The sequence below is a fragment of the Homo sapiens genome, chromosome 11 (genome assembly GCF_000001405.40).
Source record: "Homo sapiens chromosome 11, GRCh38.p14 Primary Assembly".
Taxonomy (NCBI): Eukaryota; Metazoa; Chordata; class Mammalia; order Primates; family Hominidae; genus Homo; species Homo sapiens.
In genome coordinates, this window is record NC_000011.10 from 87,011,239 (window position 1) to 87,038,845 (window position 27,607).

The 27,607-nt window shown below is 41.6% G+C and overlaps 1 protein-coding gene, 1 long non-coding RNA gene and 1 pseudogene across 4 annotated transcripts in view, besides 3 other annotated features; 2 read left to right on the forward strand and 1 right to left on the reverse strand.

The window, feature by feature from the left end:
* Window positions 1-1,202: 1,202 nt before the first annotated feature.
* On the reverse strand, window positions 1,203-26,557 carry LOC105369422 (uncharacterized). The gene is made up of 5 exons (XR_007062827.1): window positions 26,386-26,557; window positions 7,091-7,182; window positions 4,684-4,773; window positions 3,001-3,065; window positions 1,203-2,852 (listed from the first exon to the last, which is right to left on the reverse strand). It is a non-coding gene; the product is annotated as an uncharacterized LOC105369422 (long non-coding RNA).
* On the forward strand, window positions 13,346-14,538 carry HNRNPCP8 (heterogeneous nuclear ribonucleoprotein C pseudogene 8; annotated as a pseudogene).
* Window positions 26,171-26,671: an enhancer, noted in NCBI's record as "H3K27ac hESC enhancer chr11:86748451-86748951 (GRCh37/hg19 assembly coordinates)". NCBI's record gives its function as "activates a minimal SCP1, AML or CMV promoter by ChIP-STARR-seq in primed H9 embryonic stem cells {active_cell/tissue: H9 hESC(primed)}" and the evidence as "EXISTENCE:reporter gene assay evidence [ECO:0000049][PMID:30033119]".
* Window positions 26,171-26,717: a biological region, named in NCBI's record as "H3K27ac hESC enhancer GRCh37_chr11:86748451-86748951".
* Window positions 26,328-26,717: a silencer, noted in NCBI's record as "silent region_3831". NCBI's record gives its function as "represses an Ori minimal core promoter by ATAC-STARR-seq in GM12878 lymphoblastoid cells {active_cell/tissue: GM12878}" and the evidence as "EXISTENCE:reporter gene assay evidence [ECO:0000049][PMID:35858748]".
* Window positions 26,696-27,607, forward strand: part of TMEM135 (transmembrane protein 135) — a 290,891-nt gene continuing 289,979 nt past the window's right edge. For all 3 annotated transcript variants that reach the window (NR_033149.2, NM_022918.4, NM_001168724.2), the window contains exon 1: window positions 26,696-26,948. Coding sequence is in view for 2 of the 3 variants with exons in the window: in NM_022918.4 (NP_075069.3) it covers window positions 26,808-26,948 (141 nt within the window). In the remaining variant the exon portion in view is untranslated. The remainder of the gene's footprint in view (window positions 26,949-27,607) is intronic.

A 27,607-nucleotide genomic window follows, 5' to 3' on the forward strand; every position in this document is an offset into this window, starting at 1 on the left:
TATATCTCAAAGCTAGAAAACTTTTTTTTTAAAAAAGGAACTGTGAGGAGATGGATATATTAATTTGCTTGACTGTAGTAATCATTTCACTATGCATATGTATATCAAAGTATATTATATCCCTTAAGTATATACAAAAAAAAAAAAGAACTATTTAACATGAAAAAGACCGGGTGCGGTGGCTCATGCCTGTAATCCCAGCACTTTGGGAAGCCAAGGCGGGTGGATCACAAGGTCAGGAGATCGAGACCATCCTGGCTAACATGGTGAAACCCCGTCTCTACTAAAAATACAAAAAAATTAGCTAGGCATGGTGGTGGGCGCCTGTAGTCCCAGCTACTCGGGAGGCTGAGGCAGGAGAATGGCGTGAACCTGGGAGGTGGAGCTTGCAGTGAGCCGAGATCGCGCCACTGCATTCCAGCCTGGGGGACAGAGTGAGACTCTATCTCAAAAAAAAAAAAAAAAAAAAAAAAAAAACCATGAAAAAAACCCCATCAAAGTGTGAGGGTCATTGGTACTGGATTGTAGTATATTTAAGTATGAACACAGGGAAGCTGCAAAAGGATGCAGAGTGAGGTGGGGCATGGTGGCTCACACTTGTAATCCCAGCATTCTGAGAGGTTGAAGCAGGTGGATCACTTGAGGTCAGGAGTTCGAGACCACCCGGCCAACATGGTGAACTCCCGTCTCTACTAAAAATTACACAAATTAGCTGAGCATGGTGGCGCACACCTATAGTCCCAGTTACTCAGGAGTCTGAGGCAGGAGAATTGCTTGAACCTGGGAGGCAGAACCGAGATCATGTCACTGCACTCCAGCCTGGGTAACAGAGTGAGGCTCCGTCTCAAAAAAAAAAATAATAATAATAAAAGGATGCAGAGTGGAGTTTGGTGATGAAGGAAATAATAGTGACAGCTAACATTTGTTAAGTGCTTACTTTGTGTCAGGTTTAGTGTCTGACACATAACATCTAATTTTATGAACCATGTACAATTGTTGTCCCCTTTTATACACCAGAAACACGCTTGGAACTTAAGTGAGTTGCTAAAGATCACAGAACAAATAGGTTGCAAAACATGACTCAGACCTAGTGTTGACTGACCCAGGCCCAAGATCTTCACAGCCACATTGAGGCCAGAGAAGGTAGGGCTGAGAATATTCTTGTTTATATGGTTAAAAGATTATAAAAGGAAAGCTTCTTAATGTAATGATAGATTTAGTTTTTTAATAATAAAAATCACACACACAAAATCACATGGGACTATTTTCCTCAAATTGCCACTCTGTCTCATGTCTGGAATCAAATAATAATGAATGACTCCAATTCTTTCAATATTAAAACTTTTCACTCAACCAGCTAGCCGGTCAGTCATTAACACTTGCTGAGCATACACAGTACAGGATGGTATATTTGAAGTGAAATTAAAACATCAGTCTCAACTTCCTGGACCCTCGAGGAAAAGCAGCTGGTGAAATAGAGAGGAAAAGAGACTTCTAGATCTACCTTGGTGTTTCTGACTGGTGCTGGGGAGAGCCCAGAAAGATTTTAAGGTTACAGTGGCCCTTCAGTGATTCAGGTCCATCCTTGTTTCCCAATGGCATCTAGCCTCAGTCAGAAAGCTTTGCTGAGCCCAGTGCTCTGCAGACAGCCCTTCCCTTATGGCAAGTGCCTCTCTGGGGCCCTTGTTCTTCTTTCCTGCTGATAATTCTCAGTGAGTACCATATCAATCCATTTGAGGACCAGTAACCTAGGACCTCAAAGATAAAGGGTCAAAGCCTCTTTTCCTTTTCTTTTTTCAGGGCAGCTTCCTTGCAGAACTCCAGGGGTACCATCCACATTGTGCCTCTCAGAATATGTCCATCACAATCTATTACAATATGGATGATGTCCCCTGAAGTTGTGCAGCTTAGCACTGAACAGATATTTCAAGACCAAGTCATCGTATTATTCCCTTCTTCCAAGGCAGTAGGTCTCTTGTAGTATTGTAATTCACTCAAGTGACTCTTGCAAAATAAAGATCTATTCAAATGTGATTTTCCAAAGCTGTTTTTTTAAATAAAATTCATTTTCTGCTCCTCCAAGTGCCTCATTACACAAATAATAATAGCTATCATTTATTCAGCAGACATGGTACTAATGCTTTACATGCATTATCTCATCTCTGTTGCAGAAGAATTTGAGTATAATAGTGGAGCTAAAAAAATACAGAAATTATAGTATAAAGTGGAATGTGAAAAAGATCACATGAGTGAGGTAAGTGCAAAGCACCAGGGGAACTCAGAGGAGGGGGGATTATTTCCAACCAGAGAAGCTGATACAGCCAACATTCAACAAATAATTATTGTGTGCCTGTTACATCTTTGTCTCAAGAATCTCACATTCCATTGAGAAAAGGACAAGGAAACACATCATCTCAATAGTGAGATGTCATTTGATGACTGCAATCAAGCCATCGAGGCAGGCTCTTTGGAAGAGGCAGTACATGAACTATAGGCACTGAAGGTTTGGGGGACTTCTGAATAGACCAGGATGGGGATCCCTGATATCTCAAGGATTGTACCTGGATCTCATTACACTAGCCCCATCCTCTAGAAGAGAGGGAGAGAAACAAGGAGTTGTTCTCCATTCATTTCTCCACTCATTTCTCCTCTGAGGTCCCAATTTTGAAGACTTTAATGGTAACCAGTCCTTCCCCTCTGTACAACTGGCTTTTCTCCCACTGCAGATTGCACTGCACTTTGCTTAACTCCATTCGGTTTGTGACCTCCTCTCCAATTTACCAGTTCTGATTCACATGCTCCATCTTTATCCCACAGAAAAGAAACAGCCGGCTTTTGGACTTCCAAACCTCCTGGAAAAAAGCCAAGCTCCCATAAACTCCAGAATATGATTGTGTGAATTAAAATGTTCACATGATATCAACCATGCAGTTACTCCCAAGTTTATTTTGGAAAATATTACATTTGGAAAATGGGAAGCATTCCAGAGCATTCCCTTACCTTGAAATATCAGTAGACACAAGGGTATTTTGAGATCATTTCTTTCTCAAAAGTTAGCGAAGAATCTGTACAATTAGACACATAAAATTGCCTTAAATAACATTAGTTAAGGACTCTGGGGCTTAAAAATTTCTATAGAGTATTTGTTGAGAAATTTGGGACAAAAGGCTATAATTTTAACTCAGTGAAGCAAACTTTCATAATGCCTTTGAGTTAACTCCCAGTTGGCTTTTATTGCACATTTCACTTCCAATCATTGATGATTAGACCTTGGTCAGTTGCATGTTTCCCAAAATCTTACATGCTTCAAACTCTATGCCTCTGGCTATAAGAGGCAAAAGAGTTTAGAGTCCTAGCGAGAACTGTATCCAAACCCTAACAGCCCAGGCATCCAAGGGCCCAAGGGGCCTATACGTTTCTCCCCTACTCTCCTCTTCCATCCTTTTCTTCTCAGCTTGGTTTTGGAGTGCTAAAGCCACAAGAGGAGAGGTTCTACAAGGTCAGATGTCACAGGGAGATCTTATTGATGCACCTCTTTCTCTAATGCAGCCCAATTCCCAGTGCCTGTGATGTATTTGCAGTGGCTACAGTACAAATGAGATTGGAGGGCCTTGAGAAAAGAGGCCTAGAATGATAAACAGGTTATAGTCCTTGTATATTTATTCTGGCTTTGAAATATGAAAAGGCCTGAAACTCAATATTGTCCATTATATCATTTATGAAAAAGAAAACCCAATGCGTGTGTGTGTGTGTATGTGTGTGTGTGTGTGTGTGTGTGTGTGTGTGTAAATGCATAAAGAAAATGGTTACCTTTTGGGAAAGAAAGGGTAATTAGACAAGAGTAAAGGCAGACTCTTAAGTGTATATATAGAGAGATAGATAAACACACACTTTTTTTTTTTTTTGAGACAGAGTCTTGCTCTGTCACCAGGCTAGAGTACAATGGTGCAATCACGGCTCACTGCAACCTCTGACTCCCTGGTTCAAGTGATACTCCTGCCTCAGCCTCCTGAGTAGCTGGGATTACAGGCGTGCACCACCACACCCAGCTAATTTTGTATTTTTAGTAGAGATTGCATTTCACCATGTTGGTCAGGCTGGTCTCAAACTCCTGACCTCAGATGATCTGCCCGCCTCAGCCTCCCAAAGTGCTGGGATTACAGGTGTGAGCCACCACACCTGGAGGTTAAGTTTCTTAAACCCTCCAAGTCTCAATTTTCTCATCCATAAAATGATTTGTTATAAGAATGAGGGGTAAATGCTAATAACATAGGCAAACACCTAAAACAGTGTTTAATGCAATACAATGGTAATTATTATTGGTACTTTTATCATCATTATTGGTTCTTTCTATAATTGATAATTCTTCTTACTTTTTTTTTGAGATGGAGTCTCACTCTGTCGCCCAGGCTGGAGTGCAGTGGAGCAATCTTAGCTCACTGCAACCTCTGCCTCCCAGGTTCAAGTGATTCTCTTGCCTCAGCCTCCCGAGTAGGTGGGACTACAGGCATGCAGCACTATGTCCGGCTAATTTTTTTGTAGTTTTAGCAGAGACGGAGTTTCACCGTACTAGCCGGGCTGATCTCGAATTCCTGACCTCGGATGATTCACCTGCCTCGGCCTCTCAAAGTGCTAGGATTTCAGGATTTCAGGTGTGAGCCACGGCAGCTGGCCTCTTCTTACCTTTTTCTGTTGCTGTTTGTTTCCAAAACCTCTTCGAAATGCATTATCTTCTTGTGTTATCAATTCTCCTCAGCTTCTAATCATCAATCACTTTATGGTAAAGATACAAAACATCTAAATAAAAATAATTTTTAAATTCAATTGTACTTTCCCATTTTACAAAAAAAAAAGTGTTACACAGCATGTGTGCCTTCTGTGATTTGTACTGGGATAGAACCCGGATTTTGTCTTTACCTGGAATACAAAGATGATTATTGAAATGCAGGCTCCAAGGAGCTCCTAGTCCAGTGGAAATGATAGATAGCAGATATTGCTAAGTACTTGTTCAGAGATGTCTGAAACTGCCTTTCTTTCTCATTGCTGTGTGGGAGACTGTCATACTCCCTTATTAGGTATGGCATTTAGGCAGGAAACTTCAATTGGAAGTAAAACCCCCTGATTTCTGAGAGCAGTCAGAGGGTAGCTCCTGCCTGCCTTCCCAGCTAATTGCCTTCCATTAAGATAGTGAGTGGGTACAGGACAGGGAAAGGAGACAAGTAACTAAAGATAAGCATGAGGAATTAGGAGCAGAGGATGCCAGGGAGTGAAGAAGAGGAAGCAGTGTAATTAAAAGAGGCAGTAGAGGGATGTTGGCGGGACTAAGCAAAATGACTGAGGGTCCAGGCTCTGGAATCAAAATGCTTGGGTTCATATCCAGCTCCTTTACCTATGAAGTCTTTGACCCTAGACAATCCTCTTGATCATGAGTATCTCTGTTTTCCTTATCTGTAAAACGGGGGTCATAAATTACTATCTTCATAGGGTTGTTGTGAGAATTAAATGAGATAATAGATATAGAACAGACAGAGCCTGGGATACAGTAAATGCTTAACAAATATTGACCCGCTTTATGTTAGTGGAAGATGTCTAGGGTGATGCTCATTGTTTTGGGCATAGTTAGCCAGGTAAGACAGCCCTCTAGGAGAACCTGTGTGACTCAGCCACATGGAGGACACAGACAACAAGCTGCCTGCATAGCTCTTTGCCTTCCACCTCCAAGAGAGGAGGAGAGTTGTTTGCCTTGCTTCTTGCTCTACCCACAGCAGCTAGAATAGTGTCACTCACTGTGCAGATACTTAGTAGATACTTATTGAATTAGTGATATATGAATGCATACCTAGAAAGGGTTTAATGCCTTATCCATCAGGAAAACTGCTACTATTTCTTCGAGGCATAATTAAAATTATTTGAACTCCTCTCATCTATCCCTCCAGAACCCCCAGAAAGTTAGGCACTTCTGCCTCTGCCTTTATTTACTCATATATCTTTATTTATTTATTTTTTTGAGAGTCTCACTCTGTTGCCCAGGCTGGTGTGCAGTGGTGTGATCTCGGCTCACTGCAAGCTCCACCTGCCAGGTTCACACCATTCTCCCGCCTCAGCCTCCTGAGTAGCTGGGACAACAGGTGCCTGCCACCACACCCGGCTAATTTTTTGTATTTTTAGTAGAGACGGGTTTCACTGCGTTAGCCAGGATGGTCTCGATCTCCTGACCTTGTGATCTGCCCGCCTCTGCCTCCCAAAGTGCTGGGATTACAGGCGTGAGCCACCACGCCCGGCCTATTTACCCATATATCTTACATTATACTTTTATTTTAATTTCCATACATATCTTCCCTATTAGATAGGAAATCACAGAGGCACAGATTGTCTTTTAACCTTTGACACAAGAATGCCTTGCAAGGAACTAAACATAAGTTTTGTCTCCTCTGCTTTGGGAGGCCTTGGGGCATGAATTATTGAGACACAAAAGCTAATTGCCTCTCAGGAGGTGATAGATGGGAATCCTGGAATTTGGAGTTTGGGATTCATGGCAAGCTTTCTAAATCCTATTGCCAAGGAAGGAGCTTTTGTGTCTAAAGGTCAACAGAAAACTGCTGCCAGGAGAGGTGGCCCTGGAGACCACCTAGATAGTCACTTTAGCTGAGGGCATGAAAGGGCCTTTTGTCTGTGAGAAATATGAATATAGCACTTTTGTATTTTTACAGTTGAAATGGAAAGTGGGCTGGCCTCTGGTTTTGCAGTCTGCGAGGTGCTAACACTTCAGCCAGTCTGAGTGAAGGTGGGGTGATGGTGGGGATTGAAGGGGAATGGTTTTATGTGATGCAAAGGACTGAGCACTAAATGCTGCAGACTGGGAGATCCAGCAAGGGACATTCTCTGTTGATCATGGCATCAAAAGAATGGAGTCTCTCATGAAGACACCTTCCATCAAAGTACCACACTAGCTGATGTAGTAAACTGGATCAGCAGCAGTGTCTGACACTGAGCTGCTGCAGGGCCTGGCTGACAGTGGAAGGCCAACTTTCAACAGCAACACTATGAGGCATGCAGGAAAAGCAGTGGGTGCTTGGATATCAGGGCTTACCTTAACTTGAAGCAGAAATCAAATGGATCTCCCAGTTGGAATGTGTATACCCTCCAGGGTTCTCAGAAGAGCTAGAAGAAGGGAAAGGGGTCCTAAAAAAGAGACAAACCTAACATCAGGGGACTCAAGTCACTTTTCATTTAAATAGGAAAATTGTATATGCTGTCATAATTCTACCTTGAGTGTTGAGGAGTTGACACCAGCTACATGTCAGTGGATCGACTTTGGTTTCCACCATACTACTTGGCACATGATGGGGTTCATTACCTGGTTGGAGTACTAACAAATGGATACATGGAATGTGGCTATAAAATGATCAATAAGATTTCCACAAATTCGATTGGGAACCCATTTCGGTTTTCTTTTATATTCTGCAAACCCATGAAACAGGTTACTAAGATACAAAGACTGTGTTTTATGGTGTGCTCCATATACATATACCCAGTCTACCTGGACGCACCAGATGGTGATTAAAGAGGAGGTCAGGTTTACCTTGTAATGTCCAAATTACTGTGGCTCAAACTTTCATCTCATCTAATGACAGAAAATCCTATCTTTTATGAGGCCCTCTCCACAAGTAGGTCTTTGTACCTCCCAGTCAGTCCCATGTTCCACAAACCCATACTGCCCTAGCTGTCCCTGTGGTGGCAGATTGCTCATCGTAGCTCCACCACTGTCACCCCTCATCTCCCACAACCTCAGGATTGATGCCACTGCAGCTATGCTGGTCTCAGGGGGAGAAAGGCTTTTCTTCCCTTTACTAGATGATCCCAAAGGTGGACACAGACCCTTTAATTTCCCACAGCATGACGAAGACCAAACTGCAATATGTATCATTATTTTGCAGAACGTTTAAGGATATGAGAAAGGAATTATAAAACTGACAAACAAAAATGTCTACTAATTCTGAATGTTCTCAGAGTCCACAAGCTAGAGCATAGGCTGCCTTGGGCTCTTAAAGCAGCAGTCCCCAACCGTTTTAGTACCAGGGACCGGTTTTGAAGAAGACAATTTTTCCATGAATGGTGGTGGGAGAGGGTTTTGGGATGAAACTGTTCCACCTCAGATCATTAGGCATTAGATTCTCATAAGGGGCCCGCAACCTAGATCCCTATCATGCACAGTTCACAATGGGGTTCCAGCTCCTACGCTGCTGCTGATCTGACAGGTGGTGGAGCTCAGGTGGTAATGCTTGCTTGCCTGCCGCTCACTTCCTGCTGTGCAGCCTGGTTTCTAATGGGCCACGAACTGCTACTGGTCCACAGCCCAGGAGTTGGGGACCCCTGTCTTGGGAGTGTCTCCCTATTCTCAAACTTGGGCCTTCTGGCAGTGTCTGTTTATCTTTTCCCTTCAGGGGCAACCTCCAGTGAGTTTGCTCTGCTAAAAGTCCAGGCCTCAATCTCCAGGAGCCCAGGAGAGGACCACATTTCTCCCTCTGTCTCTCTAGTCTCAGGCCTGCCTCCCATATCCTCTTTTCCTGTTTATTTCCTGTGGGTAAACTCCAACCCTCCCCCATTCATGGGGTCAGGCCTCTCCCTACGGTCTCTGTGATATCACCATGTAAAAGCAAAATATCCAATGGGGCATATTCTCCAAAATCTGCATTTGAATATTACTGTGTATGACAGAATAGCAGGCCAGTCTTTTAGCATTAAGCCTAGCCCAGTCCCATTATTTTTACAACATTTTATCCAGCATGAACTCAAAATCAGAACCACAGTTTCTCTGCAGTCCTAAAGTCTTCTCTCCCAATCTCCTGTGAGAAGCTGTTTAAACAGGAAGCATGAGCATTTCTACTACAATAAACAATACCAACCAGGCTAGGGTAGCCTACACCCACACTTTAAAGGAAACATTTCCCCAAAGGCATAGTAAACTGCTGGTATATAACTTTGCCCATAATAAAGACAATTTTTGCTATTACTATGCAGAAAAGTTTAGCTCTCTAGAGATACAGCTGTCAAACTCCCATTCCTGAAAAGGATCTGGCTTAATATAAGCATATCTAACCTGGTCCATTTAGATAATTATCCTCAAACCAAGGATGAATCTGCCTCAAGATGAATGAAAGTTTCTACCTCCTGCAAAAACTACATGAAGTTCTGAAATTACAACATTCAAGGCACCATCCCCACTCTAGCCTTCACAGATCTCAGGCCCATTTTTAATTAGGGCTCTGGTTACAAGTATTGTGTGACTGCCTACTCCCAGGGGTCTCTGCTTTTCTTAAGGGGATCACTCACAAAGGGGAATCTAGCCCTAAAAAGAGAGCAGAAGGGAAACTGCTGCCTCCTTCCAGGGGACACAGCCTTTTCCCTTTTCCACGGCCACATAAATATGGAACTAATTTTGATTTATTTTTCTTGAAACTTAGATACCTGGCTTGTCAACAATAATTCAAAAATAATTTTATAAAGCTTTAAGAATTAGAGTTAGTCAAATAGTGAAATTGAGATTCTTTAGAGATTCGGTTTCTGTAATCATAGGTCATACAGAACTAAATGAATTTGGAGGTGTGGATTCTAATGGATTTAGGTTGTAGAGACTGTCAACTCAGATAAATGGAAACAAAAGGTGAATTTTCTCAATAAGTTTCTGAATAGACTTTAAGGTTTTGTAATGAACAACAGCTGGCAAGTGCTTACGTGTCTCTTTCCATTTATTTTGGCCACTAGCCCAAACAATGAAAATAGATTTTTGCCAATCATAGACTTAAAAATCATCAATGGGGAATGCCATTTTAAATTTAAAAAGACAAGTAGGTATGCAGTATACAGAAATGAGCCATAAAGAACTTTCTGTTTTCTTGCCTTCAGTTCTATTCATTCAAATGTTTATTGCCTACCATGTACCAGGCATTGTGCTAGGTCCTGAAGTAGATAGCAAAATGAATAAGCAAAGCTGCCATGTCCTGGTCGGGGAATAGAGGTGAGTGGGGTGACAGAATACACTGTTAACTAAAATATTAAAATAAAAACCCTGTTCTCAGTTGATAACAGATGTGTGGACCATGTTCAGAAAAGACAACTAACTCTACCCAGAAGGCTTCACAGAGAAGTTGCATTTCAGTTGGATCCTGAAAGGTGAATAGAAGGTCACCAAAAGAAGGGAAGATAAATTAAGTATTTGTTTGTTGTTTATCTTTGTTACTAGACTGACTATAAGTTCCGTGTGGGTAGGGACTGGATCTTGCTCAATGTTGCATTTTTGGTGGTCAGTGCTTGAAAACACCTCAAGTGTTCTAAACTATCTGTTGACTAACCAACTGAACAGTATTTCAGGCAAAGAGAACCATAGGCACAATAACAAAATAAATAACAGAATGATTTTTCTAGGCTATGGCTTGTAATATTAACACTGTTCACTCCTGGAGAGGAAGAGTATATCATAAGACAGCTAAAAAGGGCAGGTATTATAGAAGGAACCAGAAGATTTGCATTCTAGTCCCATCCCTGTTATTAACTAACTACATGACTTTGAATAAATGCTTAGCTTATACCACCTGTAGTTTTCTCACTTGTAAAATAGCTTTGGAAGAGTATATTCTTGTAAGAAAAAAAATTAAAGAAAGATCAAGAATGTATGACTGCATTTTTCCCTTCTTTTTCTAAATGCAAAATGGGGTCGGGCGCGGTGGCTCACGCCTGTAATCCCAGCACTTTGGGAGGCCGAGGCGGGCGGATCACGAGGTCAGGAGATCGAGACCATCCCGGCTAAAACGGTGAAACCCCGTCTCTACTAAAAATACAAAAAATTAGCTGGGCGTAGTGGCGGGCGCCTGTAGTCCCAGCTACTCGGGAGGCTGAGGCAGGAGAATGGCGTGAACCCGGGAGGCGGAGCTTGCAGTGAGCCGAGATCCCGCCACTGCACTCCAGCCTGGGCGACAGAGCGAGACTCTGTCTCAAAAAAAAAAAAAAAAATATATATATATATATATATAAATAAATGCAAAATGGATATATGCATCCCAGCTTTAAGATGGCCAACCACATGCATACTGATCATCTCTTCCTCCCTCAACAACACTGCAGCACTGACAAAAAAAATTAATGAATGTTCAAAAACAAGACAGAGATGTCCCTTGGATCAGAAGCTGTGAGTAAATAAGAAACCAGAGCAGTGAGCTGTGGCTCTCCCCACCTCAAAGCTGCTGTTGTTGGTCATGTATTGCCGTAACTGAGGGCCTTCTAGATCTCTGTCACCTAGCTAAAGAGATAAAAAGATAGAAAGATTGAAACAGAAAGAAAAGCTAAGAGATATATATGGAGGTTACAGGAATTTTACAATCAATCTAATGCAGGCATTTAAAAAATGTTTTTGTTCTAGGAATCTCTTTAGCAGTTTAGTGAAGACTATGGATCGCTTCTCAGAATAATACCTTTAAATGCATAAAATAAAATACAGAGGAGGACAACTTCTGTATTGTTGTTGTCCACTAGAAGCAGACAAGTGGAACGGCTCCCTCGACCACCATGGACACTTGAGGTAGCAGGGAGAGCTACTTAGAGAAGTGGGGGGCAGCAAGCCAGCTGATGTGGAGCCCAGAGGGTTTGGTGCCAGAGTATTTGTAGTGGAGCACAGCCAGGGATGGCCATCCCTCTAGGCTTGACTTGCTCTCTTAAGAGACTTTAGCCCCAGGGAAGCTGTCAGACCTGATCTCTGCAGGGCAGTCTTGCACATCAGATGGGGCTGGTCCAACCTGAGCACTTCTTGGTTTGCTGGCCTTTCCCGGGGCCCCAGCATGGCCATGCCTGCTTACAGGGCAGTCTTTTTTATGAAAAAAAAATTTCATAATGCAATCACAAGTGTTGTTTTTTGTGATGAAGTCTCAAACTGTCACCCAGGCTGGAGTGCAGTGACACAATCTCAGCTCACTGAAACCTCCTCCCAGTTTCAGGTAATTCTCCTGCCTCAGCCTCCTAGGTAGCTGGGATTACAGGTGCCCATCACCAATCCTGGCTAATTTTTGTATTTTTAATAGAGACGGGGGTTTCACCATGTTGGTCAGGCTGGTCTCAAACTCCTGACCTTGTGATCCACCCGCCTTGGCCTCCCAAAGTGCTGGGATTACAGGTGTGAGCCACTGCGCCTGGCCAACATTCTTCAAAAAAAGAAATTCCAACCCAGAATTTTATATCTGGCCAAAGTAAGCTTCATAAGCAAAGGAGAAATAAGATCCTTTTCAGACAAGCAAATGCTGAAGGAATTCATTACCACCAGACCTGCCTTACAAGAACTTCTGAAGGAAGCACTAAATATGGAAAGGAAAGAGAGTTACCAGTCACTACCAAAACACACTGAAATACACAAACGAGCGACACCATAAAGCAACCACATAAACAAGTCTGCAAACTAACCAGCCAACATCATGATGACATGATCAAATCCACACATAGCAATACTAATCTTAAATGTACATGGGCTAAGTGCCCCAATTAAAAGATACAGAGTGATAAGCTGGATAAAGAACCAAGATCCATTGGTTTACTGTCTTCAAGAAACCCTTCTCACATGCAATGACACACATGGGCTTAAAATGAAGGGATGGAGAAAAACCTACCAAGCAAACGGAAAACAGAAAAAAGTAGGGGTTGCGATCCTAGTTTCTGACAAAACAGATTTTAACCCAACAAAGTTAAAAAAAAGACAAGGGCACTAAGTAATGGTAAAGAGTTCAATTTAACAAGAACTATCTAAATATACATGCACCTAACACAAGATCACCCAGATTAATAAAGCAAGATCTTAGAGACCTTCAAAGAGACTTAGACTCCCGCACAATAATAGTGGGAAATGTCAACACCCCAGTGACAATATTAGATCATCAAGACAGAAAATTAATAAAGATATTCAGAACCTTAACTGAGCACTGGATCAAATGAACCTGATAGATATCTACATAACTGTCTACCCAAAAACAATAGAATAGGCATTATTCTCATTGTCACATGGCACATACTCTAATATCGATTATATAATTGGAAATAAAACACTCCTCAGCAAATGCCAAAGAACTGAAATCATAATGAACAATCTTTCGGACCACAGCATGATCAAATTAGAAATCAAGACTAAGAAATTCACTCAACATTTTGTGAAGAGACGAAGACTGAGCTGTTGTGGCCCATTGCTGCCAACCTCAAGCAGCAGTTGGCTGTCTTCACATAGAACCCAGGAGTAGGAGACCCAGAATCGAACCTCTTCTCCCTCCCCATCCTGTTTTCAGCGTTATGAGAAATCTTATTATCAAACACAATGGCCAGCAATGTTACCAACAAGAAAGATCCTTGCTCCATGAACTCCTGTGTGTTCTTTGGGAATCTTAACACTCTTGTGGTCAAGAAGTCTGATGTGGAGGCAATCTTTTCAAAGTATGGCAAAATTGTGAGTTGCTCGGTTCATAAGAACTTTGCCTTTGTTCAGTATGTTAATGAGAGATATGCCTAGGCTGCTGTAGCGGGAGAGAATGGCAGAATGATTGCTGGCCAGGTTTTAGATATTATCCTGGCTGCAGAGTCAAAAGTGAACCTAGGAAAAGCAGGTGTGAAATGATCTGTAGCAGAGACATATGGCTCCTCTTTTGATTTGGACTATGACTTTCAGTGGGATTATTATGACAGGATGTACAGTTACTTAGCACATGTTCCTCTTTTTCTCCTATTTCTTGGGCTGTAGTACCATCAAAATGCCACTGTGTTTCAGCAAACACCTCAAGAAGGGGCAAAAGTGGCTGGGTGCAGTGGATCACATCTGTAATCACACCATTTTTGGAGGCCAAGGTGGGTGGATCACGAGGTCAGGAGTTCGAGACCAGCCTGACCAACATGGTGAAACCCCCATCTCTACTAAAAATACAAATTAGCCAGGCATAGTGGCGCACGCCTGTAATCCCAGCTACCCAGGAGGCTGAGATATGAGAATCTCTTGAACCCAGAAGGCAGAGGTTGCAGTGAGCCGAGATCACGCCACTGCACTCCAGCCTGGGTGACAGAGTGAGACTCCATCTCAAAAAAAAAAAAAAAAAAAAAAAAAAAAGAAGGGCCAAAAGTAGCTTCAATTCTAAGAGTGAATAGTGGGAATCTTCCAAGTCTGGAAAGTTGAAAGGAGATGGTCTTCAGGCCATTAAGAAGGAATTGACACAGATAAAACAAAAGTTGGATTATCTCCTGGATAACCTGGAAAAAATTGAAAAGGAACAGAGCAATCAAGCAGTAGAGATGAAGAATAAGTCAGAAGAGGAGCAGAGCATCAGCTCCATGAAGAGAGATGAGACTAATGTGAAGATGGAGTCTGAGGGGGATGCAGATGTCTCTCCTGAAAGGGGAACCTACTAGATGATGATGATATTGAAGATGGGGGATGACCAGATGAAGTTGATCAAGGATGATGAAAAAGAGGCTGAGGAAGGAGAGGATGACAGAGACAGCGCCAATGGTGAGGATGACTCTTAAGCACATGGTGGGTTTTGGAAATCTTATCCCATTGTTTATTTACCTAGGTGCTTGTCTAAGATCAAAATTTTCACCAGATCCTCTCCCCTAGTATCTTCAGCACATGCTCACTGTTCTCCCAATCCTTGTCCTTGTTATGTTCATTAATTCATATTGCCCTGCTCCTAGTCCCATTTTCACTTCCTATGATGCTCCTGGTAGTTTTGTTAAGTCTTACCCTGTAATTTTTGCTTTTAATTTTGAAACCTCTTTGTGACTTAACAATAAAAAGGATGTATGGGTTTTATCAACTGTCTCCAAAATAATCTCTTGTTATGCAGGGAGTACAGTTCTTTTTATTCATACATAAGTTCAGTAAATGCTTCCCTAACTGCAAAGCCAATCTCAGGAGTTGAGTAGCTCCTGAAAGAAGCTTTGAGTTAGAAGTATGTGTGTTACACCCCCACATAAATGTGCTGTGTGGGGCAGCTCAACACAAATGTAACAATGTAATTTTGTGAATGAGAATTGGCAAGTCAAATGCATCCTCCAGAAAAATACTGTTATTGTCTTATGATTTGTTTTCTAAAGTTGATACTGTGAATTATTTTTGTGAACAGCCTGATGTTTGGGACCTTTTTTCCTCAAAATAAACAAATCCTTATTAAGCCAGGAATTTGGAGAAAAAAAATTCACTCAAAACCATAAAATTACATGGAAATTGAATAACCTGCTCCTGAATGACTTTTGGGTAAATAATGAAATTAAAGCAAAAGTCAAGAAGTTCTTTGAAACTAATGAGAACAAAGATACAACATACCAGAATCTCTGGGACACAGCTAAAGCAGTGTTAAGAGGGAAATTTATAGCACTCTATGCCCTCATCAAAAAGTTAGACAGATCTCAAGTTAACAACCTAACATCACAACTAAAAGAACTAGAGCACTAAGAGCAAACAAATCCCAAAGTTAGCAGAAGACAAAAAATAACCAAAATCAGAGCTGAACTGAAGGAGACGGAGACACAAAAAACCATTCAAAAGACAATGAATCCAGGAGCTGGTTTTTTGAAAAAAATAAAAAATAAAAAATAGATAGACTGTTAGCTAGACTAATCAAGAAGAAAGGAGAGAAGAAGATTCAAATAAACACAATCAGAAACAACAAAGGAGCTATTACCACTGACCTCACTGAAATACAAACAACAATCAGAGAATATTATGAACACTTCTGAGGGGAAATTTACTTGGAATCTATAATTCTTTTTTTTTTTTGAGACGGAGTTTCGCTCTTGTTGCCCAGACTGGAGTGCAGTGGCATGATCTCAGCTCACTGCAACCTCCACCTCCTGGGTTCAAGCGATTCTGCCTCAGCCTCCCAAGTAGCTGGAGCACCACCATGACCGGCTAATTTTTTGTACTTTTAGTAGAGATGGAGTTTTGCCGTCTTGGCCAGGCTGATCTTGAACTCCTGACCTCAGTTGATCCACCTGCCTTGGCCTCCCAAAGTGCCGGAATTACAGATGTGAGCCCGGTTTATAATTCTATAGATAACAAAATTGTCATTATTTTGAGGTAGAATGAAGGCAAAATAATGATACATTCAGAAAAATTAACACTCATTACCTAAAAATAAACTCTAACAAAAGAAAAATTTCTTTAGAAGGAAGTATTGGGCTGTAAGAATAATGCATACTAGTTGGGAAAAAATTAAATAATATATTAGTGTATATATATTATATATAAAGTAAAAGGTGAAAGGGCTCTGCCTATCCCTTTATTTGTTGTATATTCTCCTACACCTTTTTTAATGACTACATAAACATATATAGAAATATATATATATATACATACACCCAATGTCTTTTATTCTTTAAACAATGAGCTCACTCTATATAAAATACTTTGTGCTCTTTTCCCCTTATTCCCAATTGAATATCATAAATATTCTTCAATATTGGCATGTGCAGATCTACCTTATCCTTTTTGCTGTCTGCATTCGATGATATAAATATAAGTTTATACATGTCTATTTAATATGAACGTTTAGATTATTTTAAATCTTTTTTGCTCTTATAAATAATGCACGATTCAGTTTTTTGTTGGTATTTCTATAGGATAGAGGCCTAGAAGTATAATTGTTGGGTCACAGGATAGAGACATTTAAAATGCTGATAGTGGCCCACTCCTGTAACCCCAGCACTTTTGGAGGCTGAGGTGAGAGGATTGCTTTAGCCCAGGAGTTTGAGACCAGGCTGGGCAAGATGGGGAGACCCCCATCTCTACAAAAAAGAAAAGTAAAATGTTTATAGATCCTGCCAAAATTTCTTCTAAAAATATTGCTAATTTATAGTCAGACTAAAAATATATGGAATGTAGTATTTTAAGGAAGAAAATCTTCAAACATGAGAATAGGCACAAAATACAAAGAATCTGGTTGATAATATTTTTAAAAAGAGATAGAAAATATGCATTATTGGCTGGGTGCAGTGCCTCACGCCTGTAACTCCAGCACTTTGGGAGGCTGAGGCAGGCAGATCACAAAGTCAGGAGTTCAAGAACAGCCTGGCCAACTTGGTGAAACCCTGTCTCTACGAAAAAAAATACAAAATTTAGCCAGGCAGGTTGGCGTGCACCTGTAATCCCAGCTACTCAGTAGGCTGAGGCAGGAGAATTGCTTGAACCTGGAGGCAGAGGTTGCAGTGAGCTGAGATCGCGCCACTGCACTCCAGCCTGGGCAAATGAGCAAGGCTCCATCTCAAAAAAAAAAAAAAAAAAAAAGGAAATATGCATTATTTTGAGTGCATATAACAGATGGCTTTGTCCATCAGACCATGTGGAAAATATATTTCCAAAAGGGATTACAAACTAATCCAAAGAGATTTAGTAAGCAAGGAAGTCTTCAACTATCATTATGTCTTATTCTATTAAAAGCAGATCATCAAATAAATTCTTGCACATTAGTTTGTCTTTTACAAAGTAATCTTAATAAGGAAAAACCTCTGCCTTTGGACTTGATTCTAACTATAATAGGATACTGAGTTGTACCCGTGAAAGTGACAAGATCTTTGATAAAAAGTATCTGTATCATCTTAGAATTTGTAGTGTTTGTAATGTGCAAGGATATGACTGATGAGCATGTTTAGACATGTACTTAAGACTTTGGGAAAACAGATATTGAAAACTTTAGAGAGAGAAAAAATATAGGGCCCATTATTTGAGTCTTTAAATAAGAAAGTTACTGTGAGTGCTATCTATAGAGGTTTAACTATGTAAGTATATATAATCTCTGCATTTTACTAATCGAACAAATGGTTGAGTGTGCCTATATAGTAGATCCTGGGCTAGGCACTAAAGGGGCTGTGTTAATTTTGGAGGAAATTGCAGTTTTGGAGATTTTAATATATTTGATATAGATCAATTCTCTGAATTACTTTCAGCAAAAATGTGTCTCAGTTTTGCAAGCAAGACTGTCAGTTGCAAAAGGCAAACAACAGCATTTCTTTTAAAAGATTATATTGATAACCTATTATGAGCACCATCTGTCACACAAAGAAATACAAGAGATGGTCCCTCACTTCAAAGTACTTGCAGTTGTTTTAAGTATTTGAGTTTCAAGAAAAAAAAAGTATTGTTTAAAAAAAGCAGTAGAACCTTCACAAAAGTAAAATAAAATGCTGGTACTGCATGTCATGCAGGGATTTTCAAAGGAATTGTGAAAAGAAAGAGGCGCCTCACCATCAAAAACAGGCACACAGCATAGCAATAAGAACACTGAGGACATAGCAAATCCCAGAATGAGTAATTGAGAGTTACAATATGGTCAACAAATAAGACATTGTTCCTATGTTTGGCAGAGGCTTCTGATAAGGAAAGGGGTAAGCTCTGTGCTTAGGGGCAAATGTTGCAATCTGAGTGAATGGTAGGCAGAATACAAAGTAACTAACTCTTCTTTTTTCTTTTTTTTTGAGACAGAGTCTCCCTCTGTTGCCCAGGCTGGAGTGCAGTGGCGCGATCTCTGCTCACTGCAACCTCCGCCTCCTGGGTTCAAGCGATTCTCCTGCCTCAGCCTCCTGAGGTGTGTGCCACCACACCCGGCTAATTTTTGTATTTTTTCAGCAGAGTCGGGGTTTTGCCATGTTGGCTAGGCTGGTCTTGAACTCCTGACCTCAGGTGATCCACCCGCCTCGGCCTCCTAAAGTGCTGGGATTACAAGCATGAGCCACAACCGGCCTTAACAAGAGTACAGTGCTTTCAAATTTCTCTCCCACCAAGACTTCTTTTATTAAATATTAAACATGTTCTGTGTACAAGGCACTGTGCTATGTGGTACAGAAGATAATAAAGATGTGTCAGAAATAGATCTTGTCCTTAAGGGGCATTATGATGACTGGAATTTTGTTAAAAATATAAAACTGCCAGGTGTGGTGGCTCACGCCTGTAATCCCAGCACTTTGGGAGGCAGAGGTGGGCAGATCACAAAGTCAGGAGATCGAGACCATCCTGGCTAACGGGCTGAAACCCCATCTCTACTAGAAATACAAAAAATTAGCTGGGCGTGGTGGCGTGTGCCTGTAGTCCCAGCTACTCAGGAGGCTGGGGCAGGAGAATGGCATGAACCCGGGAGGCAGAGCTTGCAGTGAGCTGAGATTGTGCCAATGCACTCCAGCATGGGCAACAGAGTGAGACTCCATCTCAAAAAAAAAAAAAATATATATATATATATATAATATATATAACATATATATAATATATATTATATATATATTATGTGATGATCAGTTTGCATTAGTTCATTTATAGTAAGCTATACTATTGCACATATATTCATTTAAGAAAAGAGAGTCATACAGTTCACAAAGATGGAAGAGAATCATTGGAGGTTAGCTGGTTGTCTTACAGGTAGCCTGACCCTGCAGTTGATATTTGTGACAGAGATGGCGCAAAATGCTTAACAAAATCTCATTTCATTTTCCTTTCCTGGTTACATGGAAAGACTACGTTTTCCATCCTCCTTTGTGGTTAGGTTGGGGACATGTGACTAAGTTCTGGAAGTGGGATGTAAGCAGAAGTGATGTAAACCACTTCCAGGTCTGGCCCTTAAAAGTGAAAGCAGTGATTGGTATCTGCGAAAGTTAAATGTATGCTGGCCCCATGACGTAGCACATCTACTCTTAGGTATATGCTCAAGAAAAACAAAAGCATACGTCTACAAAAGTCAAGTAAAAGAATGTCCCTTGCTGGGTAATTCATAGTAGGTTCAAACATGCAACAACACAAATGTCCTCAAATGAAAAAATTGTGCTATATTCATACAATAGACCCAATATAGCAATAAAAATGAATGAACTATAGCTACATACGACAACATGCATAAGATCTTGAGTGAAGGAAGCCAGACACAAAAAATATTCAACGTATGCATTTGTTACTATAAGCTTTAGGAACAGGCAAAATGAAGCTATGATGCTAGAAGTGAGAATAGTGGTTACCTCTGTTTGCAGGTGTATTTACTGGGAAGGGGCACTAAAGAGCCTTCTGGGGTGATGGAAATACTTTTTTTTAATCTGCATAGCAGTCTCAGGGCAAATAGTAGTCTCAGTAAAGGCAAATTTAAAAATTCATCAAGCTGTACACTTAAATTTTGTGCATGCTGCTATGCAAAAGAACTAAAAATTATGCACACATGAAAAATCAAAGAAGCAAGGAAAAAATTAAAAAAAGTGACCACTGACGAAGGCCCAGTGCAGATGGAAGAGGCTATATTCCTGAATCACTGGTTGCCCTTGCCCTGAAGAACTGGCCAGTCTGCTTTGGAGTTTGTGTAAACACAAAATAAATCTTTCTTATTTTAAATTCTCTGAGATTTAGAGTGTATGTGGTATCTCGGCATAGCCTAACCATTCTTGGCTAATACAGAATTTATTGCCACAAACAACCAGGGTAAAAAACCTGGCTTTGGAAGCATATCAGGGAGGCTCTTCCTTTCTCAGGCTAAGTGATATAAAACAAGCTTATAAATGAGTGCATAAATCAAGCTGCCAATTTATTAAATAACAATAGAAAATTAAAACCTGTCATACAAACTAGGATATCTGTTACCTAATATATAACCATTCTGTCTCTCAAGACAGACCTGCATGGGAAGCCAAACTGTAATAAAAGTTTGTTTTATTCTCAGAAAGAAAACATTAGTTAGATGAGTCAGTTATTTAATGACATCTGTCCAGGAGAAGCTATGCATCCCATTTCATAGTTAATTCCTGAGGTCCCTGGGCTGCAGTTCTCATTCCCAGGCATGCACCTGAATTGCCTCAGGGGGCTCCTCGTTTTTTTTTCTTCCAATTCTATCAATACACTTGTCTTCTACAGATATGTTATTGCATAAGTCTACTGTTTTTAGAGAGATGTGGCTGGCCTCTAAAGCATTCCTTGTACACATCTACATGTTGATTTTGTGTTTTTCCTCTCAAAGAATAATCATAAATCTTTTACTTTTTTATTATTTATTTATTTATTTATTTATTTATTTGAGATGGAGTCTTGCTCTGTTGTCCAGGCTGGAGTGCAGTGGCACCATCTCGGCTCACTGCAAGCTCCGCTTCCTGGGTTCACGCCATTCTCCTGCCTCAGCCTCCCAAGTAGCTGGGACTACAGGCGCCTGCCACCATGCCCGGCTAATTTGTTTTGTATTTTTAGTAGAGACAGGGTTTCACTGTGTTAGCCAGGATGGTCTCGATCTCCCGACCTCGTGATCCTCCCACCTCAGCCTCCAAAAGTATCTTTTACTTTTACATTCTGTGGTTGGAGTGGTAGGGGTTTGGAGAGAATGGTGTCCTTAGCTGTAGCTTCCAAGTACTGGTAACATCAAACTAATATAGATGCTGAGAATTCTAGACAGTGTATGTACCTGAATATTTTGTAAGGCCACTTGAGAGTTTTTTCTACAATCTTTGAAGGCTTGAAGGGAGGAAACTGTTAGGAAAGGCTGGAGAAAAAGGGATCCCTGTTATGCAGTGGCAGAAAGTTTGGCAACACTGTTGCATGCTGAAATGCAGAAAATAGAAAATATATCTAACAAACTGGTGTATTTGCAGTTAAGGAAATTTCCAGACAGACTGTTGAAAATGCCAACTGATTAAAAAAAAAAAACCTATGTGGAATAAGATGTAGAGAGGTGAGATATAAAAGGAACAATTTCATTTTTAAGCAAAATTTAGAGAAAATATACACAGTCTGGGAACTTTGGGTTCAAAAATAAAACTGCTTTTCACTTCCAGCCTCTCCAGATGGTGAAACAACTAAGGCATTGCCTTAAGGGGAAGGTACAATCCAGGGTGCAGCTATTTAGATTTTTTGTAAAGACTGTACAAAGATTTAAAGCCATTTTACCTAGACCATTTCAGCTAGACAAAAGCACTTCTAAGTGTATAAGGGTGTTTTCCATCAGCTTTCTTACTCTCAGCCCAAGACGGAAAGTGTTTGTCTCAGAGGTTTGTGAGTGTGGCTTTTTTTTCTATTGGAGTGGATTATAATTTGATATATATGAAGTCCCCAAAATCTTAAAGAGAATTGTATTGGCAGACACACTGCCTACTTGGACTGAAAGGGCATATGTATCTTTTAATACTCCAGATTTGAATATTAAAATTTATATTTACATATTAGAAACTCAATATTTTAAATAAAATGACGTAAGGAAAAACCTGAAGTTATGTTGCAACAAAAATTAGTAGAAAATTAGAATTATGGCTGGGCATGGTGGCTCATGTCTGTAATCCCAGCACTTTGGGAGGCTGAGGCAGGTGAATTACCTAAGGTCAGGGAGTTTGGGACCAGCCTGGACTACATGGTGAAACCCCGTCTCTACTAAAAATACAGAAATTAGCCGGGTGTGGTGGTGGGTGCCACTAATCTCAGCTAGTGAGGCAGAAGAATCACTTGAGCCCAGGAGGCGGAGTTTGCAGTGAGCCGAGATCGTCCCATTGCACTCCAGCTTGGGTGACACAGCAAGACTCCGTCTCAAAAGAAAAGAAAAGAAAAGAAAATCAGAATCATATGTAGCTTTGTGAAAAGCTTGGTTACTGACTGTTGCTGGAATCAAGAGCTACTACAGTGTCATACTTCGAGTTTGCCGTACTTTGCCATTGTACTTGTGCCTGATAATTATTTCTACAATGACTGCATGTAGATCTAAACTAGATTAGTGTCGTTAAATCCTCTGCATTAGATCTTAAGAGCTCTTCCATTCTTTTTCGTTGACATCTTCAAAACTAGAATCCTACAAGAGCAACAACTTTGTGTTTTTTTTTTTTTTTTCATTCTTCCATCACAAAGAAAGGGGCAACAATTTTCATCTTGGCGTTTCTTCAAAGCCTTTGAATTCCATCATAAATTGCCAGATTAGTTTTCTTCATCCACTGTGCACCTTCTTTGGAGAAACTCTTTGCTTCACCTTGTTGATGAACCCTAAAGCCCTCCCTGCGTTTTTTTAATGAAAAAGAAGAAACAATGAAGCCCCCAGAAAGTATCCAATCAAGCCACTGTCATAGCCAACCTAAAAGAATAAATGACCCATGCAGATGCAATGTTTAACATTATCTTTAAACTTAATGGTGGCATGAAGAGAAGGCTTTCTTTTAAAAAACAGCCTGCTATATCTTATAATACCATATAAAGAAATTTACAAATGTAAGCTACTGGTTTAACTGCATACTGCTCCATTTTGCAATTTTTTTTGCATCCTAAAGCACAGATCATCTCCCCTGAGGATTTATCAATGCCTTCCTGTTTTGGAATCTCCATAGCAGCACTAGAAAAGATAGAGTATCCTTTCTTTTGAACTTGGGAGTTTCCCTGAAATCACCCCTTTGCCACCCAGCTCATCAGCATTGTCCCCTTTGGCACCATCCCCTTTTTCTCAAATTTCTTTATGCTTCAAGTCTCCATTTAACAGTTAATTAGGACCAGGTGTGTTGGTGCACACCTGTAATCCCAGCAGTTTGGGAGGCTGAGGTGGGTGGACAGCTTGAGCCCAGGAGTTCAAGAGCAGTCTGGGTAACACAGGGAGACCCTACAAATAATTTAAAAACATTAGCCAGGTGTGGTGGCGTACCTGTGGTCCCAGCTACTCAGGAGGCTGAGGCAGGAGGATCTCCTGAGCCCAGGGGATATAGGCTGCTGTGAGCTGTGATTGCGCCACTGCACTTCAGCCTGGGTAGCAGAGTGAGACCATGTCTCAAAACAAACAAAAAACAGTTAACTAAAAGAAACCACCTGGTTTTAATTGTAATTTTAAAATTTCCTTATTTATTAATGTGTAATTGCTGGGCCACATAGTAAACATATTGTTTATTATCAGGCATGAAAACTATATTGTGCTATTACATTCAGAAGCAACTGAGAGTTAACAATCATATTAAAAATTTTTTTTTTTTTGAGACGGAGTCTTGTTCTGTTGCCCAGGCTGGAGTGTAGTGGCACCATCTCGGCTCACTGCAACCTCCGCCTCCCAGGTTCAAGTGATTCTCCTGCCTCAGCCTCCTGAGTAGCTGGGATTACAGGTGTCCACCACCATGTCTGGCTACTTTTTGTATTTTTAGTAGAGATGGAGTTTCACCATAGGCCAGGCTGGTCTTGAACTTATGACCTCAGGTGATCCACCAAGCTCAGCCTCCCAAAGTGTTGGGATTATAGGTATCAGCCACCGTGCCCAGCTCGTATTAATTGTTTGGTGAATAAGATGTTATTTGTATAGTATTGTACATCTTAACATGATCATTTTTTGTTAATATTTGATACTATGTTTTAAATACTTGTTAAGAATTTTTTGGTTGATATGTAATGCATTTTATTTTTTCCCATTTAAAACTAAGTTCCTATTCAGCATTTTCTTGTGAAAGGATCACAGATATTCAGGAATGGATTATTGAAAAAAAATAAGCCTGCACTGCTATTTCTGTAATTTTTTGGATAAGTTTATGCTGTGTTTTTGATCTTCTTAGTTTCTGAATTGGAGATTTGAAAAAAATTGTGATTATCTTGTTCCTATTCTACCATTGTATATTGGATGTGTTGAGGCGGATGATAACTTTATCATGAGATCTGCATCTGGTCCTGAGGAATATTCTGGACTTTGGCTAGGATTCAGCAACTGCATGGAATTTTAGGTTGTCTCCCTTGGAAAAGGGAAGGTATGTCTATCTGTAGAAAGAATGGTGTGCCCGGATATTTGGGTAGCCAGAGACATAGAACTATGGCAGACACTGCTAGTTGCCTCTAATATCTGTTTTTTCCATTTTGCTCAGTAATAAAACCTCAAATGTTAGCTGGGCATTTGTCCCATTAATTAAAAAAGATTGTATTCACCATCCTCTCTTGCAATGAAGTGTGGCCATGTGATTAAGCTTTGTCCAAGGAACGTAAGTTGTAGTAGTTTGTATGGATCTTCTGGGAAGTTTTTTTAAAAACAGGAAGTATGCCCTTTTCTCCCCGCCCCCGCCCCCCCGTTTTTTTTTTTTTTTTTTTTTTGAGATAGAGTCTCTCTCTGTTGCCAAGGCAACAGTGGTGTGATCTTGGCCCACTGCAACCTCTGCCTCCTGAGTTCAAGCGATTCTCCTGCCTCAGTCCCTGAGTAGCTACGATTACAGGAGCGTGTCACCATTTCTGGCAAATTTTTGTATTTTTAGTAGAGACAGGGTTTCACCATGTTGGCCAGGCTGGTCTCAAACTCCTGACCTCAAGTGATCCACCCGCCTCAGCCTCTCAAAGTACTAGGATTACAGGTGTGAGCCACCGCGCCCGGCCTCTCTTCCCCTTTTGCTGGTCTTCCTGGCTAGCATGTTGATGTCATGTTATTTTCTAAGTTAGGGTGGAAATCACAGGTAGCAGATGGCATAGCAAACTGTCACAAAGAGGCTGGGATCCCTAATCGTTATGGAGCCACCATTTTATTCTAGGACTGCCTACCTTTACCTGAGAGAAAGATACTTTTATCTTTTTGCCATTGTTGTTTTGGACTTTTCATCTGAGTATTTCTCTTTTATTTTCTTCAAACAACTACACCTATCTGATATTATCTTGTTCAGTTTTCTTTGTTATTTTCTGTCTTCTCCCTCTAGAATACTAGCTTCGTGAAAATAAAAATCTTGTCTCTCTTGTTTCTGTTTGTTTCCTTAGCACAGTGCCTGGTAAATAGTAATGACTCAGTAAATATTTGTAGATGAATGAATGAAGACTAGAAGATTCGAATGGAATTCTTCTAAAGGTAGTTCGTTTCTGCTTTAAGAGACTATGGAATTTAGAAATCCAAAGAAACTGGCAGGTTTGTTACATGTGAGGAGATTGACAGAGGGGTTATATGACTCAAGCAACACAGGACCCTTGTCTTGCTAATTGTTGGCCAAGTTCCCTAGCCAGGTCTGAGTTCTAACACACGACTGCCGCCTCTACTGTGTGTGCTGTTTGGTTGATAAGCACCTATCAAAGATGCTGTAGACAGGATTGCTCCGTGGCCTAAGGTTTGGACAGGATGACCTATTGCCCTTCCCCACACACGGTCGGGGTATGAACATAGCTGAGACTTTTCAAGCCTTCGCAGGTATCACAGAGCTTGGAAAGCCCAGCACTTGGGGGTAGTTAGTTGCAACTAGCAGGCAGCCCTAGCTGTTTATTACCTGGGACTCTCGGGAAGGCAAGCTCCCGGTGCTGGGGAGGACGTTTGTCCCAGGCATTCCTCTGGCAACCCTCTTCCTCCACCAGCTCCCAACAAAGACATTTAATCCCTTTCTTCCACTACCCTCCGCTCTACTTGGCTTGCAGTTGGAAGCTGAAGTACAATTTGACCCAAGCCACCCCCTACTGCGCACCTGCCATAGCGCTTGCGCCCCGGAGCCGGGCACGGCGTCGCGGGGGTGGGGAGGCGGCTCGTCCCCGAGCTGCGCTCCCTCGCGTACAGCCTCGGCTCTGGGTGCGAAGATCCTCTCTGCCTCCGCTCACCCAGCCGCGCCGCCGCGCGGGAACGCGCCCCAGCGGATGCCCTCTTGAGGGAGCGCGCACGCGCCGCCTCTCCCCGCCTCCCCGGTGCGCGTCCCGCCCCCTTGAGCTGCGATACGCCGAGCGCTCAACATCCGAGGACTTTGGCCCAGAGTAACCCCGCTCTCGTGACCTTTCCCCTCCATTCCGCACCTCCGAGTGCTGGCCGGGCGAGAGGCTGGCGGCTGGGCTCTCGCGCCCCTCCCTGCAGGGCTCAGGCTCTCCCCCTCCTGTCTTCTCCGCGCTGTTCCTCGTCATGGCGGCCCTCAGCAAGTCCATCCCTCATAACTGCTATGAGATCGGCCACACTTGGCACCCTTCCTGCCGGGTCTCCTTCCTGCAGATCACCGGGGGCGCCCTGGAGGAGTCCCTGAAGATCTATGCTCCTCTGTACTTGGTGAGACCCGTCACCCGTCCCGCAGGGCGAGTTTAGTCTGGAAGATGGGCCGGGGGCTGCAGTTGGTGCTCCCGAGGGGCTCTGGGGGACTTGCCTTGTGTCGGGCTCTCTTTTGGAGGGGTCGGAGTGTTTTGGGGGGTCGGTAGGGGGAAGGGGGAGGTCGCAAGGGAAGGATATACCAATTCCTGCAAGGGAGAAGGAGGAGGGGAATTAGAGATTGAGCTGTCATCTGAATGCCTGTTGCTAGGAAGAGGATGGCTCCCAACTTTTAGAATTAAGTTTAGGACACTTAAAAACGTTAATTCAAAGACCAGCCTTATTTTCCTCTGGCCTGCCTTGTGATGGAGAGGTATTTGTAGGTCAGCGAGGCTATGAGAAGGACCTGCAATCTTTCCTCATCTAGTTTCCCCTGTTTTATTTTGCTTTTTTTTTTTTTTTTTTTTAATGAAGAAGGCATATTTGGCCCTAAGTCCCTGTGGCCTCAGATCTTGACTCAGTTTTGAGATGACAGGATTGTGATTTGGGGGTTTTGCAAGTGTTTTTGCAAGTTCACAGAACAGACTCCTGGGTTGAGATTGTGTGTGGTGATTTAAAGGGTGATGCCAGTCTTTCAGTCAGTGAACTTGGTTAGGACATCTGACTTTGTGTCACCTAGGACC